Below are 19,345 nucleotides of genomic sequence, written 5' to 3'. Positions count from 1 at the left end.
GAGAATGAACTCATTCAGTCTTGGCTTTCATTGTTGATTGGAGCTAATTGGTGAATGGAGCTGGCTTTGCTCTCTACAAGCCTTGTCTTTTTCATTGACAGAAGGAACCCAGCCAGCCGGCGGAATGCAAGCAGCAGTAGGAAGCGGAGGCGGGTGCCTGGCAGACCGGCTGTCGGGACTCCAGGCCTGTGGGCGGGGCCTCGGTCCTTGCCGCAGCACAATCCCGTGGACAGAGCTTACTCCATCTAACTCGTTTTCAAGTGCATGATTTTCACTTTCACTTTTCCTTTTTCCTTATTATTTTGCTTAACTTGTACAGTGGCAACTGAAATGCATTTCAGAAATAGGAGGTTTCGTCCAGCACCCTCTGCAGCCTTGGTGCCTGTAGCTCTGGACTTCCCTGGGCCTTTCCCTGTGGGAGGGCCCTGTAGACCACATCAGGGTGGGGTGGGGGTCACTTGGCAAAAAGGGCCGAGGTCTGGTGATGTGGTTCCCAGGATCTGGAACCTCTCCCACCCCTCCTGCAGTTGGACTGAATTCTTCCCTTTCATCCGAAGAAACCCACTTGCTGTTTCCAGCCGCTGAATCTGCTGAGTGTGCAGCCTGCATCACCTGCTGTATGCCGATCATCTCAGAAAGGGCTGTGTAGAGTAGGGCCCTGTTCTCCTTAGGATGTTGCTTCTTGATTTTTTTTTTTTTTTAGGGGTGGGTCAGGGTTGTGACACACCAGCCCAGGTGAGAGCTGCTGCGGGTCACCTCATATTTATTTATCCCTTCTTGCCTGTGAGGACTGCGGCTTTTCGCTGTGGCTCGTCCTTAACGTTTCTGAACCACCTTGGTGCCCTGAGCAGGAAGATGTGCCACTTCCTAGCAGGCGCAAGGCCTGTGCGGAAGAAACGCCGCTCCCTGCCACCAGGGCTGAAGATGCGAGCCCGTCCTCATGACGCAGGCGCCACCCTGCTGCCGGAGCCGGGCTTCGGCAGTCTTCTCCACTGAGGGACTGGGCTGGGAAGTCCTGCGTTTCAGTGGAGCGTATGAGCGTCAAGTCCTGCTTTCTCAGTAGCCCCATTGCGGGGCCCCACCATTCATCCTGTCTGAAGGTCCTGGGTTTGGTGTGACCGCTTGGCGGCTGGTGGGTGGGGTTTTCAAGTGGGTGACGGCGCTCTCCGGCAGCCGGGGATGGCCGTGTCCGCACTGACCAGGCCTGTGGAGAGTGCTCGGCCTAACCTTAGAACACATTTGTAACTGAATACAGTGTTTTCAATTTGTACAGAATAGTTAGAATATTCTATTAAAGTGGTGAAACATTGAGTCAGCACTGTGCCATGTGGGTCTTTGCAGGGGAATGTGGTGGGGAAGGCTCAGATGTGCTGCACACCTGTTGGGCTCTGTTGAGCCCTGGGTATTGGTGGCTCCAAGACCGGTTGTACAGTTTACTTCTGAGGCCTTGAAAGCTCAGTTTGAGGCAGAGGCTGCTGTAGCCCCCCCACTACACCTAAGTTGCTGCTGTATGCAGGCAGCTTCACTGCGGGCCCAGGGGAAGACTGTTCCTGCCCCCAGGAGGGGATCATTTCTCAGAGTTAGTGGGACTGTGCTTTGTAGATCCAGAAGGCTCCAAGAGGAGAACTTCCTGATAAAGCCCATGTTAGGTGTGTTTGCTCTCTGAAGCTTTTCCCCGTGTCTCTTCCATCCACAATGAGAGGAGGCACTCAACACCTGCTGCACAGGCACTTCCTGACCTGACCGTGGGAATCCCAGCCTTGGCAGCGCCGCCTGGTGAATGAAACGCTGTCATGAGAAGGCAGCCGTGGAGCTGGCTCATTGCTCCCCACGTGGCTGGCCCCGCCCTGCTGCCTCCAGCTCACCCGTGGGCTGCCTTCTCTCTGGGAGCAGCAGGAAGGGCAGGTGCAGGCTGGGAAGTGAATGCTTGCAGCATACCCCCAAGGGCCGGGGAGCCTGATGTCTGTGCTTCCTGCACCCGTTCCTCCGTCCCCATCCTGTGAAGTACCTGGGGGAGCTTGGTCTCAGGCTCCCCAGCCTCAGGGTGGCCCCATGGGTGAGCAGCACCCTGGCCTTACTTGGTCTGCCCAGGGTCAGACCCCATAATCCAAGGGGCATATGCTGTTTTGCAGTGACCCGCCCTTCAGCTGCGGAGACAGCCCTGCACACTGCCCTGTCCACTGGGTGCCCAGAGTGCCTTTTTAGGAAGGGCTCCACAGGCTTGGGGAGTGCCCCTCACTACCTAGCTGGGTGGTTTTAGATCAGATTTGCACTTTTCGATCAGATTTGCACAAGCAGGGGAAAGGGCTTAACATTGTGGCTTCTGGGGGTGGGGGTATCTGGATTTTCCCTTTTGAGTAAGAAGTGTGTGAGAACCCTGCACCCACCTGCGTGCATCCTTCACTGAGCTGGGTTCCTGTGTCCGCCAGTGAGTCTGACCTTGGGAGTGCATGGTTCGTGGATGCTGCCCAGTTCCAAGGACATCTGGGTGCAGGACCTCAACGTGAAGCCTGGGGAGCTGTGGAGGCCCGAGGGTGCAGGCAACCTGGTCTCCCCCAGGACCTCAGCACCTCCGGCCTCTGTCACCCCTGCATGGCCGCCGTGTCCTGCCTGCACCCCAGGGTCTCAGAAAAGGGAAGGTCATTCTCCAGTGGCCAAGGAGCCCAGGAACCATCCCAGGCCCAGGCCATTGTCAGCTCAGGAACCTCAGCCATCAGTGGTCACCGAAAGTCGCTGAGTGGTTGAGAGGTTTGCCCAGAGCCACCATCTGGAAGGCAGCTGGGAAGTGGGGGCTTGTGGCGGCCGCCCAGCCTGGCCTGGGTGAAGGGTGGCTGCTTCCCTTCTGGTCCTGGAGGCCAGGGGGTCTGCCACAGAACCTCAGCTCTGCTAGCCCAGGCCCTCCTTTTTCCCGACTCAGCCCCTGGCTGGGGAGGCAGACATTCACCGTCCAGCCCCGCCCCACCCACCCCACCCCGCTTGGGGCTCCCCCAGCCCCTGCCCTTCCTGTGACTGTTCACCCTGTGCGGGAACTGAGACTCAAAACCAGTGGCGCTGGGGTCAGGGCAGGAGTTTGGGGAGCAGCCCGGGAGATGGGAGGTGGGGCCTGGGGCACCCCCACCCCCTGCACAGGTGGCTCAGACGCTTCTGTCAGCTGCCATCACACGGGTGCTCCTGGGCAAGGAGGGAAAGAACCCGCACGGCAAGCAGCCAGGCACAGAAGACCTGGAGGGCCCTGTTTCTGTCCGGTTCTAGAGCCTGCAAAGCTATAGTGCCGGTGACTGCCTGGGAGGGATCTGGGGTGGGGGGACTGACCAAGGAACGCTTTAGAGGGATGGAAGTGGTTACACAGGTGTATACGTCTGTCAGAATTCATTGAGTTACATCAAAAATGGGTATATTTGGTTGTATATAAGTTAGTCCTCAATGAAGCTCAGCGTTGTTTTTTTTTTTGAGACGGAGACTCGCTCCATTGCCCAGCCTGGAGTGCAGTGACACCATCTCGGCTCACTGCAATCTCCACCTCCCAGGTTCAAGCGATTCTCCTGCCCAGTCTCCCAAGTAGTTGGGATGACAGGCATGCACCACTGCACCTGGCTAATTTTTGTATTTTTAGTAGAGATGGGGTTTCACCATGTTGGCCAGGCTGGTCTCGAACTCCTGACCTCAGGTGAACTACCCACCTTGGCCTCCCAAAGTGCTGGGATTACACGTGTGAGCCACCGTGCCTGGCCTGAAGCTCAGTTTTCAGAAGTCCCCAAAACAGGGTGATTCCACTTAAAATTCTGTTTTTTCCCTTGAGTCAGGAGCTATGGCTCCCTAGAACCTGATGGCTGCTGCTTTCCCCAGCAGGGTCACCTGGGACCCTTGTCCACAGCTGCCTGGCGTGTGGGTCCGCGGGTGGTGTGTACCCCAGGTCAGCCTACCTGGCCAGTCTGCTCTCTAGGCTCATGACTCCCGTTTATGTGGAGCTGGGACCAAGCCGACATCCCACTCTGCTCCTGTCCTGCTGCCCAGCAAACCTCCCCAGGCCCAAGGGCCACCCATGGGGCCAGAGCCCCCTTCCCCAAGTCCCAGGTCCAGGGCTTCCTGCCACCCCACCCATCTTGTCCCACTCTCAAAATGCCCTAGGCTGCCCCCAGCCCCATCGCTGGGCAGGCTGAGTCAGCATGAGCTGCCAGGATCCAAGCTTGCCCCTGAGGTGGGAGGCAGGGGTGGGGTGGGTAGGGGGCAGCCAGCTGGCTCCACCAGCCAGCCAGGTGGGTAGGTGGAGCCCCTGGCCTCTGCCTGGCTCATCCAGGCACACCTTGATATTACTGACCTCTGACCTGCCCCTGCTGGGTCCTTGGCTTGCCTGGCTCTGAGTCAGGGCTCAGGGCTGGGCAACTGGTGAGCAACAGAGGAACAGCCAGGGGCAGCGGTGGGAGAAGTGACCGTCCCAGACTCAGCCAACTCCAGCTGCAGTGCCCTGAGGGAGCCCTGGGCCTGCAGAAGGGGTTGCTGTGTGCAGAAGCCTGTGGTTCCCTGCCAGCCAGGCCAGCCTGGCCACAGCCTGGCATGGACTTCGGCCTCTGCCCCAAAACCCTCAGAACAGGTGCCTTCCCAGGTTCCTTCTGCTGGAGCAGGCACCTCCTCCCCAGCCCGCCCCAGGGAGCATCCCCATGTGGAGTGGGGGGCCCAAGGGACCCCAGGCCCAGCTGTTTGGACCCCACCCACCAGGAGACACTGGCAAGCAGTGGCCCCCAACAGCAGGGCCTCCTGGAAGGACGCCTCCTCGGGCTGGCCCTGGCTGAGCTTCTGATGCGCTGAATTTGGTGTGGGTTTCCAGGCACCTCATGCGCCTGGGACATTCCCCATTTAAGAGATGCAGACCCGAGTCTCAGGACAGAAGCCAGGGCCCAGCTCTTGCAGGGTGAGGCCTGGACGCCTCTTGCCGAGGCCAGGTCACCTTGGTGTGCCTGAGGGAGGCCCCGCCTGCTAGGCTGTCCCCAAGGTGCCAATCACTAGCCCATCCTGGCCATGCTGACTCATGGCTCTCTGAGGGTGGCAGCCGGATGTTACTTACCATGACAACCCAACAGCCTGGCCCAGCCCAGCCCAGCCCAGGAGAAACGGGGCAGCTACAGCTGTGTCCAGGACCCCACTCAGGGCGGACCCACACAGATCACCCTTGTCGAGCTCCTCAAGAAGTCTGTGGTGTCCACCAAGTTTCCAAATCTCCCTAGGTCTCAGTTTCTGTATCTGGGACATGGGGAGAAGCTTCACCTCCTCAGAACCCAGACCCTGGGCATGGCAGGGCTGCCCACACCGGCCCTCACCAGTGCCTGCCTGGCTGGAAGCCAGTCCGAGGAGGGAGGACAGTGCCTCACTGAGCAAGGCGGGTGCAGGGCTGGGAGGACAAGAGGGAACGCCTGGAGATGGGGCCTCAGGTGCAGGCACTGGCCAGAGTTGCTAGAGTCTGCTGCCCCCAGCCTGGGGGCCGCCAGCGAGGGCCTGAAGTGGTCCCTGGGTCTCAACCTGCCCCTTTTCAGCAGGGGCTGCCCTCCCCAAGGACCAGAACACCAGACCTTATGTGGGGACCCTTCCTCGTCATCTGGGGGCTCCAGGCATTCCTTGGCTTGCAGCCACTTCCTTCCGATTTCTGCCTCTGTCTCACGTGGCCTCCTACCCCTATGCCTGCTTCTCCATAGTTCTCCCTTGTGAGGCCCACCTGGGTAGTCCAGGGGAAGCTCCTGCTCTCAGGGGCCTTTCCTATATCACACCCTAGCCACTAAGGTCATGTTCACCCATTTGCCATCAAAGGTAACATTCGTGGGTTTCAGGGAGTAGAACATGGATATGTCTTATTGGGGGCCACCATTCAGTCCATGAAAGGGGTCTTTCAAACAGACCAAAGCACATGAAGAGGGGAAAAGACAGCCACGCCAAAGGCCACAGACACCCAGAGAGATGGCTGCCCCCACCCCAGGGATAGAGAAATGTGTGTGAAGACCTCAGTTTTTGACCACCAGATTGTGGGGTTTTGTTGTTGTTGTTGTTGTTGTTTTGTTCGTTTGTTTGGTTGTTTGGTTTTTCCTGAGACAGGGTCTCACTCTATGGCCCAGGCTGGAGTGCAGTGACACTTTCTCAGCTCACTGCAACCTCTACCTCCCAGGGTGAAGCAATTCTTCTGCCCCAGCCTCCCGAGTAGCTGGGATTACAGGTGCATGCCACTGCACTAGGGTAATTTTTTCTATTCTTAGTAGAGACAGGGTTTCACCATGTGGGCCAGGCTGGTCTCAAACTCCTGAACCCAAGTGATCCACTCACCTTGACCTCCCAAAGTGTTGGATTACAGGCGTGAGCTATTGCCCAGATTGACTTTTTTTTTTAAGTACAGAGTGCCCACCATTGGCCTAGCCATGGGGAGATTGGCATTGCAGCCCTTGGGGGAAAGGGTGAATAGGAACAGCCCCACTGGCAGGCCATTTTGGCAGTTACCACACATCTGAGGGCCTTGCTAGCCCAGCAGTGCCATGTCTGGTGTGCAGGAAGGCAGTGCCATGTAAGATGACAGCAACAGGGACCCAGCCCAAGCCCAACCATCACAAGGGGTGGCTGAGACATGGAGGATTCCAGATAATGAGGGCTGGGGTGGGGGGTTCCTGGAAGATGGCCCAGACAGAGGAAGAGACACAAGCTCATACCCCCGCCTGCATGGATATTCATATGTAAATGCATTTTTAAAACTGGTAAAGGGTACATCACAAGTTACATTCTTAACCATTTTTTAAAGTGCACAGTTCAGTGCCACTAAGCATAGTTACACTAAGCATATTCACACAGCATATTCACACTAAGCGTATTCACAGCGTATTCACACTAAGCATATTCACACCGAGCATATTCACACCGAGCATATTCACACTAAGCGTATTCACACTAAGCATTTTCACACTGAGCATATTCACACAAAGCATATTCACACAAAGCATATTCACACCGAGCATATTACAAGCATATTCACACCAAGCATATTCACACCGAGCATATTCACACCAAGCATATTCACACTAAGCGTATTCACACTAAGCATTTTCACACTGAGCATATTTACACCGAGCATATTACAAGCATATTCACACCACACCGAGCATATTCACACCGAGCATATTCACACCGAGCATATTCACACTAAGCGTATTCACAGCGTATTCACACTAAGCATATTCACACCGAGCATATTCACACTAAGCGTATTCACACTAAGCATATTCACACTAAGCGTATTCACACTAAGCGTATTCACACTAAGCATTTTCACACTGAGCATATTCACAGCATATTCACACAAAGCATATTCACACCGAGCATATTACAAGCATATTCACACCAAGCATATTCACACCGAGCATATTCACACCAAGCATATTCACACTAAGCGTATTCACACTAAGCATTTTCACACTGAGCATATTCACACCGAGCATATTACAAGCATATTCACACCACACCGAGCATATTCACACCGAGCATATTCACACCGAGCGTATTCACACTAAGCGTATTCACACCGAGCATATTCACACCGAGCATATTCACACCGAGCGTATTCACACTAAGCGTATTCACACTAAGCATTTTCACACAAAGCATATTCACACAAAGCATATTCACACCGAGCATATTACAAGCATATTCACACCACACCGAGCATATTCACACCGAGCATATTCACACCGAGCGTATTCACACTGAGCGTATTCACACTAAGCATTTTCACACAAAGCATATTCACACAAAGCATATTCACACCGAGCATATTACAAGCGTATTCACACCAAGCGTATTCACACCGAGCATTTTCACACAGCATATTCACACCGAGCGTATTCACACCGAGCGTATTCACACCGAGCATATTCACACTGAGCATATTCACACTGAGCATATTCACACCGAGCATACTCAGCATATTCACACTGAGCGTATTCACACTGAGTATATTCACACTAAGCATATTCACACTGTCATGCAGCCGCCATCAGCATCTGCCTCCATGATTTCTCATCTCCCCAAATGGAAACTGTGTCCCTATTAAACTCCCCATTGTCCTCTCCAGCTCCTGGCACCTGCCCTCCTACCTTCTGTCTCTGAATCTGACGACTCTTGGGACCTGGTACATGTGGAATCATTCAGTACTTGTCTTTTTGTGTCTGGCTTATTTCACTCAGCATAGTGTCCTCAGAGTCCATCCGTGCTGTAGCTTGTGTTAGAATTCCCTTCCTTTTTTTTTTTTTTTTTTTTGAGATGGAGTTTCACTCTTGTTGCCCAGGCTGGTGTGCAATGGTGCAATCTTGGCTCACCGCAACCTCCGCCTCCTGGGTTCAAGCGATTCTCCTGCCTCAGCCTTCCAAGTAGCTGGGATTACAGGCAGGCATCACCACGCCTGGCCAATTTTTCAGGTGATCCACCTGCCTTGGCCTCCCAAAGTGCTGGGATTACAGGTGTGAGCCACGTGCCCGACCAGATTTCCCTTCCATTTTAAGGCAGTGACTATTCAGTGTGTGTGTGGACCACATCGTGTGTGCCCATTGTCAGTGGATACTTGGTGGCTTCTACCTTTTGGCATGCTGCTGGGAATATGGGTGTGCATGGATCTCTAGGAGAGACTCTAACTTTTAGTTCTTGTGAGCATGTGAATGAGAAGTGGAATTGTTGGATCACAGGGCAATCCTATATTTAATTATTAAAGGAGGTTGGGTGCTGTGGCTCACTCCTGTAATCCCACCACTTTGGGAGGCCAAGGCAAGTGGATCACCTGAGGGCAGGAGTTCAAGACCAGCCTGGACAACATGGTGAAACCCCATCTTTACTAAAAATACAAAAAAATTAGCCGGGCGTGGTGCCACATGCCTGTAGTCCCAGCTACTCAGGGGGCTGAGGCAGGAGAATCACTTGAACCCAGGAGGCGGAGGTTGCAGAGAGCCAAGAACGTGCCACTGCACTCTAGCCTGGATGACAGAGTGGGACTCCGTCTCAAAAACAAACAAACAAAAATCAATTGTTAAAGGAAATGTAAATGCTTTTTTAAAAAGGATGAGGCCAGGCACAGTGGCTCACACCTGTAATTCCAATACTTTGGGAGGATGAGGCAGGCGGATTGCCTGAGCCCAGGAGTTCAAGACCAGCTTGGGAAACACAGTGAGACCCCATCTCTACAAAAAATATACAAAGTAGCCAGGCATGGTGGCATGTGCCTTGTAGTCCCAGCTACTCAGAAGGCTGAGGTGGGAGGATCACAACCTCAGGAGGTCAAGGCTGCAGTGAGCCATTATTGCACCACTGCACTCCAGTCTGGGTGACAGAGCAAGACCCTGTCTCAAAAATTTATAATAATAATAAAACAAAAAGAGGCCAGGCTCAGTGGCTCATGTCTGTAATCTCAGCACTTTGGGAGGCTGACATGGGTGGATTGCTTGAGCTCAGGAGTTCAGGACCAGCATGGGCAACACGGTGAAACCCTGTCTCTACAAAAATACAAAAAATTAGCTGGGTATGGAGGTACACACCTGTGGTCCCAGCTACTCAGGAGGCTGAGGCGAGAGGATTGCTTGAGCCTGGGAGGCGGAGGTTGCAGTGAGCCAAGATCACGCCACTGCACTCAGTCTGGGCAACAGAGCAAGACCCCATCTCAAACAAACAAACAAAAAAGGATGAGAGTGGCCCTAGGTGGGGACATGAGAGATGAACACTCAATTTTGTTTTTATTATTTTTTTTTTTTTTTCATTTTTTCTTGCTCTGTTGCCCAGGCTGGAGTGCAATGGTGCAATCTCAGGTCACTGCAACCTCCACCTCCCAGGTTCAAGCAATTCTCCTGCCTCAGCCTGCTGAGTAGCTGGGATTACAGGTGTGCACCACCATGCCCGGCTAATTTTTTTTTTTTTTTTTTTTTTTTTGCATTTTTAGTAAAGACGGGGTTTCACCATGTTGGCCAGGCTGGTCTCCAACTCCTGACTGCAAGTGATCTGCCTGCCTTGGCCTCCCAAAGTGCTGGGATTACAGGCGCGAGCCACTGTGCCCAGCATCAATTCTGAAATAATTCGAGCCTCTTTTTTACTTTTTATATCAACAATTGGTTAATATTTTTGGTAGGCGTGTTTTTTTTTTTTTGAGATGGAGTCTCGCTCTGTCACCCAGGCTGGAGTGCAGTGGCACGATCTCGGTTCACTGCAAGCTCTGCCTCCCGGGTTCACGCCATTCTCCTGTCTCAGCCTCCCGAGTAGCTGGGACTACAGGTGCTGGCCACCACACCCGGCTAATTTTTTGTATTTTTAGTAGAGACGGGGTTTCACTGCGGTGTTGATCTCCTGACCTTGTGATCCACCCGCCTCGGCCTCCCAAAGTGCTGGGATTACAAGCGTGAGCCACCGCGCCTGGACTTTTTTTTTTTTTTTTTAAGAGATGGAGTCTTGCTGTCTTGCCCAGGCTGGTCTTGAACTCCTGTTTTCAAGTAATCCTCCCACTTGGTCCTCCCAAAGCAGCCCTGGATTACTGGCACAAGTCACAGCACCTGGCCTATCTTTGGTAATTTTTTAACGTTGGAAATAATTAATGACAATACACCTGCCAGGGCTCCCCCAGACCGGCGGAATGAGAAGTTCAGGCCAGGAGGGTGAGCATCTGCGCTGTGAGAAGGCTGCCCCAGCGATTCTGCAATCTGAGCCCTGTGCAGGGCATGGGGCCACCTCAGTCCTCCCTCTCTCCCTTCCTGTATTTTGTTTGTTCCTTTGTTCATTGGTTCACTCCTTCAAGCTTCTGGAGACATCCCCACAAGCCAGGTGCAGGGCGGTCATGTTGGCTGCTCTTGTTTTCCATCTGCGAGTGACTGCTGGGAGGGCCCTTTCCTGAGCTCCCTGTGTCCTGGCCCCATCTCCCAACCTCTGGAGGCTCCATAACCACCCACAAGCAGCCCTGTGGAGGTGACACCAGCCTGATGGAGCCCGACGGAGGCCCCACTCTGCCCCACGGGGCCCCCTCATCTTGGCACGCCTGACTGCCAGTCTCACCCGAGGCAGCAAGGGGCTGTCTGGTCTCATACACACGCCAACAGTCTGCACGTTCAGTAGTCAGTGCAGAGGGGGTCTTTTGGACAATGACGTGGATGCCTTTATTTTTTGAGACAGGGTCTTGCTCTGTCACCCAGGCTGCAGTGCAGTGGAGTAATCACGGCTCACTGCAGCCTCGACCGCCTGGGCTGAAGTGATCCTCCCAACTCAGCCTCCCAAGTAGTTGGGACTATAGTGCACATGCCACCATGCCTGGCTAATTTTTATTTTTTTTTTTGTAGAGATGGGGGGGTCTTGCTGTGTTGTCCAGGCTGGTCTCAAACTTCTGGGCTCAAGCAATCTGCTCACCTCGGCCTCCCAACTTGCTGGGATCATAGGCGTCAGCCACCGAGCCCGGCCTCAGGATGCTTTTTTAGCCATTTCCTGAGTGCCTGGGCTGATCCCTGGGGCTCCCAAAGAATAAAACATTATCACTGCATTTAAGGAGCTGATAATAGCTTCTGAGCAGGGTACTGAGGGATAAACAGGAGCTCATCAGGGGCCAAGGAGAAGGGTGTTCCTGGTTTCTCAATCAATCCCCAACATCTTGTGAGGTAGGACCTGCCTGTCAGGCTCCAGTGGAAGAGCTCAGGAAGAGACACAGCAACAGAGAACACAGCCCTCCAAGGCCAAGATCAGGCTGACAGCAAGTGTCTGAAAACCAGGTGGGTCATGCCACGGGGCCTCTCACTTTCCTCAGGCTGCAGCTGGGAGGAGACAGATAGAGGGCAAGCCTGAGTCACAGGCCCTGGCACATGGGCCATGTTGGGCTCAGGTGAGGTGGCACCAGTGCACTGCTCAGGTGCTGCAGCTCCAGGCAGCTTAGGTCTTCCCCCAGCCTCCCCAGGCTCAGGTGGGCGGAGGCTTGGAGACCCATGGCCTAGCAGTATGTGGTTGGCAGGAGGCAGGCCTTAGAGTGCGCCCTGGCAATCTGAGAGGGCTTCCTGGAGGGGGTGAGAGGAGCTAGGGGTGGGCCTTCCTGACTGAGGAGCAGTGGGCCTTTCTGCAGGGCTCTCTCTGAGCAACCCCTCCCACAAGAGGGTGGTGTCAAGCCCCAGGCACTGGGCCGGGCCCTGTGACACGCAGCTTCCTCACAGGCTGGCAGGATGGCCAGGCTCGTTGGGCAAGTGCCTGGAGGGCCCGGCCTCGTCACCGTAAGGAAGTGACCTCACTCAGGGAGTTTCGGAGAGGTGCCCGCATCCTACTCCAGCTGCTGACAGCCTCACACAGCTGGGCTCCGGTGCCAAGGGTCCAGGCAGCTGGACAGGGCAGCCAGTGTCCCAGGCCAGATGTTTGGGCACCCAGACTGTACAATGCCTGCCCAGGGGTGGGGGCCCTTGGCTCAGGCTCTGCATGAATCCTGGATGTGGCCCCTCAGATAAATATCAGTAAACCCGGTTTGGACTGATGCTGCCTGACACCACCAACTCGAGGCAGAGCCCCCTCCCCATCCTGAGAAGCAGTCACAGAACATCAGGGCTGTTTCCTGCCCCGAGCCACAGGGTGCCACAGAATCGGGGAAGCTGTGGATGTGGCCGCACTGGCCACTGTGTAACCTGGGTGAGTCACCACCTCTCTGAAACCCCCACCCAGTGTTCCCTGCAAACCCAAGAAAGCAGTCTCAACAGGGAGAAATGACCGCACAGAACTAGCACGGGGCAGGGCCACACGGACTCTCCTGCCGGTGCCTGGCCCTGGCATCTCTCCGGCAGGTGGTTCCTCCGCCTCCAGCACGTGAGTGGTCCAGAACCCTCGTAGAAGCAGGTCCCATGGGGTGTGGCCGAATCCACGCCGGGTTCCAATCTCTGTGCTGTGCTGGAGAAGCTCCCAGGCTCTTGGCTATCAAATGGCTCTAGGAGGGGCATTCCTCAAAAGACCCTCATGTGGGGTCCCTGTGTCAGCACTCTTCTGCCTCAACATCCCTCCCCCACATCCCAGGAAGTGAGTGTCACAGCCCTCATCCTCCAGAGGGGACCCTCAGGCAGGCCTGCTCTGGGGGATAGAGATAGGGTCCCTCCTTGGAAAGGTGACCTTGACAAGTCACTGCACCTCTCTGAGCCACCCTTTCTGCATCTGCAGCTTGGGGCCAGTGCTTCTCCTGGGGGCACCGCTCAGCCCCAGGTGGGACCAGGTGAGGCGGTGAGGCTCAGGCCTCAGGCAAGGGAGGCCGAGCGGGGGCTGGCAGAGGGCGGGTGGCTCAGAGGGGCAGACGGCAGTGTGAGTTAGTGGTGGTGGTAAAGCCCCTCGGGTGGATGGTGGACGCAGAGAGGATGGGGCAGCCCCTGTGTGCAAGTACCTGCCAAGTTGGCATGGTGTCCTCCAAGCCCCTCTCACCTCCTAAGGCCGTGGTTTATTTTTGCCCATGTCCATAAAGACACCCTGGGGGCTCCTGAAGTCACCTGCTGGTCCAGGGCTGGTAAGGCTTGGGAGTCGGCTCCCTCCAGCCCCCACATTGGCAACCAGGTTCAGGCTGGTTTGGCCGAGCAGGGGCCCAGGGTGTCTAGCAGCTGCTGGGGAGGCCAGGGCCACTACAACTGAGCCCCTGGGGCAGGGACTGTGGGCAGAGAAGCTGCCTGGGGAGGCCTGGCCTCCAGGGCTCAGACCTGATTTCCAGCAGCCCCTAAAGGGCCATCCACCCCCATACCCCCCAGGTCTTCACAGTGTCCATGAGGGGAATAGCAGAGAGGGGCTGAGTGGGCAGGAAATCCCCTAGGGAGGGCAGGGCCTCTGAATCTCGGCTGCACACCCTGCCCCCTGGCCTCCCAGCTCCTGCCCCACCTGTCAGAGCATCACCCCTGGGTTGTAAGTCCTGCCCCCAGGGGAGTGAGTTTCCCAGCCTCCCTTGAGAGGGCCACTGGGGTACAGGCAAAGAGAGGAGCTGGGCGGGGCTGGGGGAGCACACCTCACCTGGCCTCACCTGGTTTCCAAACCCTCTTCCTCCCCCTCATTTCTCTCAGCCCCTTATCTGCTCCTGCCTGTTCTCTGTCCCTTCCCCAAGGCCCTCTCCATCCTGAACCAGTTTCCTCTTCTGTGGAACAGGGGCTGGAGTGCCCACTTTGGGGAGTTCTCTGGGTTAGGTGGAGGCTGGGCACAGTGGTGGCATACGGGCACCACTGGCCCTTCAAGGTCTCCTTGGAATCTTCGAGGGCACGCCCTCCCCACAGAGTCCTCCAAGCTGTCCTCCTGGCCTCCAGTACCCCCGACCCCTATCCCCATCCTCATGTACCTGCTGTGCCCCTGGGGTTTAGAGGGATTCCTCTCCCCTCCTCTGGGGTCCCAGCACCAGCCAGGCCTGCAGGCACACAGTAGGTGCTTAAGCAACCACGAGTGTCGGGGGATTTGCCTGGAGCCGAAGTTCCACTGGCTGGCCCCTCAATGGGGTAGGCAGGCTGGTGGGCCTGGAGGTGTTCCAGGCACCTGTGGGCTGGCGCAGTGACAGAGCGCTCTGCCCCCGGCCGCTTCTCCTGGTCTCCCACTGCCCAGAGGTGCCTCTTGCCCAGGTCCCACTGTCCGGCAGCCCAGGGCCCTCTGGAAGCAAAAGAAGGGACACCAGAGTCCGAATCCTTCCTGCAGCCTCTCCGGAACAATGCTCGAATCCCCTCTCCCCGCCAAAGGCTGACCTCCCCTCACCCACCCACCCTACCTGCTGCTCCCTCACCACAGGATCCCAGCCCTGCTGCAAGGACAGGTGTCAGGTAGGGGGCAGTGTTGACCCGCCGGCCCCAGGCAGGTGTCTCACTCCCAGGCCAGAACCCTGGCACAGCCCAACCCTGCCCTCTGCCGGCACTGCCCCTCCACACCACATCCCTGCCCACTGCCAGGTCCTCTGGCCACACCGGTGGGACCACCGGGCAGCTGCTACCTGCATGCCATTCACAGAACCGGGTCTGGGGCGCTCCTCTGAGCCGGACGTCTCTTTATCCTTTACAGTGACCCTGAAGGGCAGGTGGAGGTAGGGCTGGTCCCAGGTCTGGGTTTTACGCTCTGCTGCCACTGTCTTGACATTTTAAATACATTTTGAATCAGGGGACTCTCGTTTTCATTTTGCGTGAGCCCCGTCATTGAGGCCAATTCTGACCCCAGAGTTGGGACTTCCTGCTGTAACCACCCCAGGGCGCAGCTAGGGGGCAGGGGTGCGGGAAGGTGGGAGACGTGGAGTAGTAGCCGGGGTCTCTGGGGTCCTCTCGGCCGGCTCCACCCCCACCCCTGGGAACCCGGGAAGAGCCGGCTTTCGCTTCCTGTCTATTAAACCCTTTAAAGGAAGAGGGTAAATAAAACCGCCCGTCTGCCCAGCTGGAAAGCGATGACTCAGCCGCCCCCGCCGACCCTCGCCCCCAGGCTGATCCCAGAGAGCGGGCGTCGCGGCCCAGCCCGAACCCCTCAGCTCCTGGGACCTCTCTCCGGTCCGGGTCGTGGGGGCGCGGTCGGAGCAGTCCGTACCCCAGTTCGGGACACTACGAGGGCGCAGGGAGGAGAACGGGCTTCCTCTTCCCCTTCCATTTTCTGAGCTCTATGGGTTGCTGGTCTAGCCCTTTCCACGTGTTCCCTAATCCAGCAAAGGTTACTGTTCCCATTTCACAGAAGCGAAAACCGAGGCTAAGAGAGGTGGTCGTTCTTGGCGCAGCCCGTGGGTGGCAAGATAGGAGCTCGGTCCGCTAGGGCAGGGCCACTTTCGGAGAGGGTCTCTGGGCGGCCCTGGGAAAGGCCCCCGAACAGGACGGAACGGCCAGGGCTCGGGAGTAAGGAAGGGGGCCTCGACCCTCCTTCTGCCCCGGGAGCCCGAGAGCGGCAGGGCTGGACTTGGGGCGCCTGGAGGGTGAAGGTCTGGTCCCGGCTGTCTCCCCACGGTGGGCCGGCCCCGGGCCCGCGGGTGCTTCCCGGGGCTCCCCGGCGTGAGTCATCGCGGGCAGGGCTGGCTGCAGCGCATTCTTCCGCGGGGCCGGCCTGCGAGACGGTGCGGGCGAGCGCCCGGGCGGGGCGGGACCTCGAGTCACCCCACGGGGCCGGACAGCTGGGGCACGGGGGGCAAGAGGAGCGCGGGCTTCTGAGATGGGAGGGGACGGCCGGGGACCGACCAGAGCGCGGACGCGACGGTGCGGGCCCGGACGGCTGGGCTTGGGGAGGGTATGGCCCGGGGCGCGCGGGGCTCAGGCGGGCGGGGTGGCCCGAGGGCCGGGGCGGGGCGGGGAGGGGCGGGGCGGGGAGGGGCAGCTATAAAGGCCGCGCCGGGGCCACGAGGAGCAGAGCCGGCGCCGTCACCGCCCGCATTGCCGCTCCCAGTCCCGCGCTCGGCACGACATGAAATCCCCCGACGAGGTGCTACGCGAGGGCGAGTTGGAGAAGCGCAGCGACAGCCTCTTCCAGCTATGGAAGAAGAAGCGCGGGGTGCTCACCTCCGACCGCCTGAGCCTGTTCCCCGCCAGCCCCCGCGCGCGCCCCAAGGAGCTGCGCTTCCACTCCATCCTCAAGGTGGACTGCGTGGAGCGCACGGGCAAGTACGTGTACTTCACCATCGTCACCACCGACCACAAGGAGATCGACTTCCGCTGCGCGGGCGAGAGCTGCTGGAACGCGGCCATCGCGCTGGCGCTCATCGATTTCCAGAACCGCCGCGCCCTGCAGGACTTTCGCAGCCGCCAGGAACGCACCGCACCCGCCGCACCCGCCGAGGACGCCGTGGCTGCCGCGGCCGCCGCACCCTCCGAGCCCTCGGAGCCCTCCAGGCCATCCCCGCAGCCCAAACCCCGCACGCCATGAGCCCGCCGCGGTGAGTGACTGCCCGCGTCCCGGCGAGCCCTGCGCCCTAACAGCCGGGACCGGGGCCTTTGGGAAAAACCACTTCAACCCCAGACGGCGGGGCGGGGGCGCTGCACCTCCTTGGGGGACCCGGCGCCCCGCAATCGCGCTGGCCCCCTCGCGTCAGGGTCTCGGGGCCCCTCAGGCTGGACCCGGACCGGCCCTGGCACAGCTCTCTGACCCAGTCCTTTCCCCACAGGGCCATACGCTGGACGAGTCGGACCGAGGCTAGGACGTGGCCGGCGCTCTCCAGCCCTGCAGCAGAAGAACTTCCCGTGCGCGCGGATCCTCGCTCCGTTGCACGGGCGCCTTAAGTTATTGGACTATCTAATATCTATGTATTTATTTCGCTGGTTCTTTGTAGTCACATATTTTATAGTCTTAATATCTTGTTTTTGCATCACTGTGCCCATTGCAAATAAATCACTTGGCCAGTTTGCTTTTCTACCATCCGGCTGTGGCTCAGTGAGACTCCTGCTGGGAGGGTGGAGGCCCAGGAATGGGCGGGCAGGACACCCTCATCCAGTCCTGCGGGGCTGGTGTGAAAGGCGCTGGGAACCGGCTTTGAATGAATAAATGAATCGTGTCATCTGCTGGGCCTGGTCCACACCCTCTTTTCCAAGCAGCCTCCCCAGAGGCCAGGAAGTGCCCTGGGGCTTGACCCTGGCTACCTTCTGCTCCTTGGTGTGTCCTGAGGAATTGAACCTGGGGAGGACAAGGGCCCTGGGTCCGAGCTGCTGCTGCCTGTGGTGGGGGAACCTTCCCCAGCAGCACTTCCTGCCCACAAACCACCCGCGCAGTCAGACCAGAAGGAATCCCTCAGCCCTCTGGCTGCCCGCCGCCAGCCGCTCCTTGCCAGTGCCCGCAGTGTGGGGCGGGCAGGGTCGCCTTTGCTTCTGGGGGAACAGGAGAGAGTTCTGGGCTGTCTCCGATGGTGGGGCAGGAGGCAGAGGTCCCTGCACCTCCAGGTACTGGCCCAGGACATTGGGGTGGAGAGGCCTGAGTGCAGCAAATCCCTGCCCCTCTTTCTGAGATAGCTGACCACGGCTTTCTGCCCTCCGGTCTGGCTGTGCTCTTTGAAAGACAGGGATGGTCTGAGACAGTTAGGGTTCAGGAAGTGTGTCCCCCACCCAGAAGGGCTCCTGGTGATGAACAAGCTGAGGAGGTGATAAGGGGTACAGGCATGACTCCTCACCCCACAATGGGGCCTTCATTTCTGGAACCTTCGTGGTTGGAGGGATGCCAGTAGGGGAGGCAGAGAAGTACCAGAATTGGACCCTAATCTCTGTTGCTAGGAGGCCGACGAAGCCTGGTAGCTGGTCTGGGCTCAGGGCGGGGAGGGTGCTATCCCTTCGCTGCATGGCCCGCAGGAGTCTTGGTGCTAGGTCCAGAAGAAACTATTGCCTGCAAGGAAGTTTCTCCCGAACGCAATTTGTGAAGCCCCTGTGCAGATCGGGGAGGGGCTCCTGCAAAAAGCAGAAAACAGCAGCCAAGGACGCTGCCTGGCTGGGCTCCTGGGCCTCCTGGCTGGCCCACCAGAGCCTCACCTGGATGGATATCCAAGGTCAAGAGGAGAGCCCTTGCCCCTGGGTGCTTCAAGCATAGGCATGATCCGGCCTGAGCTTTAGGCGAAGAGGGTGGATGGCCCTTGGCTCACTGAGGCCACTTCTTGTTTGAGGAATTTTGGAATTCCTCAAATTCTGAGGACAGTGGAATTCTAAGGTTTGGGGAGTCCATGTTTCAACAGCTTCTTTTAAAAGCAGCCCGAGGAGAGGAGGGGCGGCCTTCATGGTCTCAGGGGCAGCTGCAGACCCTCGCTGAGGCTGTGGAAAGCCTGTCCTCTCCAGATGGGTCAATCGGTCACAGCGGCTGGGCTGGCCTCCTCATGCCCAGTTCTCCTCCCCAGAGCCCAGGACCAGGGGGTGGGGGTGAGGGGTCGGGAAGTGCTGTGGTCAGGAGGCTGGGAAGGCAACGGTACATGGCCTGGCCAGCAAATCAGCTATAGAAGGGACCCCCAGTTCCCAGGCCATGGATGGGTACTGGTCCATAGCCTGTTAGTAGCTGGGCCGCACAGCAGGAGGTGAGCAGCGGGGCAAGCATGACCGCCTGAATTCCACCTCTCGCCAGATCAGCGGCAGCAGTAGATTCTCACAGGGACGAGAACCTTGTTGTGAACTGTGCACAAGAGGGATCAAGGTTGAGCACTCCCCATGAGAATCTAATACCAGATGATCTGGGGTGAAACAGTTTCATCTGGCCCACCCACATCCGTGGAAAAATTGCCTTCCATAAAACTGGTCCCTGGTGCGGAAAATGTTGGGGGCCACTGAGCTGTAGGATGAAGAGGCTGAGATAAGGGGACACCAGAGGAGTTCTGGGGTTCATGTGGCTGGCAGTGTCTGGTGCGGTTCTGGGGTTCGGGTGGCTGGCAGTGTCTGGTGCAGTTCTGGGATTCGGGTGGCTG

The 19,345-nt window shown here is 57.6% G+C and overlaps 2 protein-coding genes across 15 annotated transcripts in view, besides 5 other annotated features; both read left to right on the top strand.

Moving 5' to 3' along the window:
• NAP1L4 (nucleosome assembly protein 1 like 4) overlaps window positions 1-1,311 on the top strand; it is a 47,893-nt gene extending 46,582 nt beyond the window's left edge. For all 14 annotated transcript variants that reach the window (NM_001369380.1, NM_005969.4, NM_001369382.1 and 11 more), the window contains one exon: window positions 102-1,311. In NM_001369380.1, coding sequence (NP_001356309.1) covers window positions 102-140 — 39 coding nt within the window. In that variant the 3' untranslated portion in view covers window positions 141-1,311. The remainder of the gene's footprint in view (window positions 1-101) is intronic.
• Window positions 5,463-5,639: a silencer, noted in NCBI's record as "fragment chr11:2961339-2961515 (GRCh37/hg19 assembly coordinates)". NCBI's record gives its function as "represses an EF-1alpha promoter that drives an FKBP-Casp9 reporter gene in an ReSE screen in HepG2 liver carcinoma cells {active_cell/tissue: HepG2}" and the evidence as "EXISTENCE:reporter gene assay evidence [ECO:0000049][PMID:32094911]".
• Window positions 11,597-12,209: an enhancer, noted in NCBI's record as "H3K4me1 hESC enhancer chr11:2954769-2955381 (GRCh37/hg19 assembly coordinates)". NCBI's record gives its function as "activates a minimal SCP1, AML or CMV promoter by ChIP-STARR-seq in primed H9 embryonic stem cells {active_cell/tissue: H9 hESC(primed)}" and the evidence as "EXISTENCE:reporter gene assay evidence [ECO:0000049][PMID:30033119]".
• Window positions 15,224-15,832: an enhancer, noted in NCBI's record as "H3K27ac-H3K4me1 hESC enhancer chr11:2951146-2951754 (GRCh37/hg19 assembly coordinates)". NCBI's record gives its function as "activates a minimal SCP1, AML or CMV promoter by ChIP-STARR-seq in primed H9 embryonic stem cells {active_cell/tissue: H9 hESC(primed)}" and the evidence as "EXISTENCE:reporter gene assay evidence [ECO:0000049][PMID:30033119]".
• Window positions 15,833-16,442: an enhancer, noted in NCBI's record as "H3K27ac-H3K4me1 hESC enhancer chr11:2950536-2951145 (GRCh37/hg19 assembly coordinates)". NCBI's record gives its function as "activates a minimal SCP1, AML or CMV promoter by ChIP-STARR-seq in naive H9 embryonic stem cells {active_cell/tissue: H9 hESC(naive)}" and the evidence as "EXISTENCE:reporter gene assay evidence [ECO:0000049][PMID:30033119]".
• Window positions 16,328-17,475, top strand: PHLDA2 (pleckstrin homology like domain family A member 2). The gene is made up of 2 exons (NM_003311.4): window positions 16,328-16,852; window positions 17,081-17,475. Exon 1 carries the CDS (start codon window positions 16,384-16,386, stop codon window positions 16,840-16,842), a length of 459 nt encoding a protein of 152 aa, NP_003302.1. The 5' UTR covers window positions 16,328-16,383; the 3' UTR covers window positions 16,843-16,852; window positions 17,081-17,475.
• Window positions 16,443-17,051: an enhancer, noted in NCBI's record as "H3K27ac-H3K4me1 hESC enhancer chr11:2949927-2950535 (GRCh37/hg19 assembly coordinates)". NCBI's record gives its function as "activates a minimal SCP1, AML or CMV promoter by ChIP-STARR-seq in naive H9 embryonic stem cells {active_cell/tissue: H9 hESC(naive)}" and the evidence as "EXISTENCE:reporter gene assay evidence [ECO:0000049][PMID:30033119]".

This window comes from Homo sapiens, chromosome 11 (genome assembly GCF_000001405.40).
Source record: "Homo sapiens chromosome 11, GRCh38.p14 Primary Assembly".
Taxonomy (NCBI): Eukaryota; Metazoa; Chordata; class Mammalia; order Primates; family Hominidae; genus Homo; species Homo sapiens.
The sequence above is the reverse complement of the archived record's forward strand: the minus strand, read 5'-3'. Positions and strand labels throughout refer to the sequence as shown.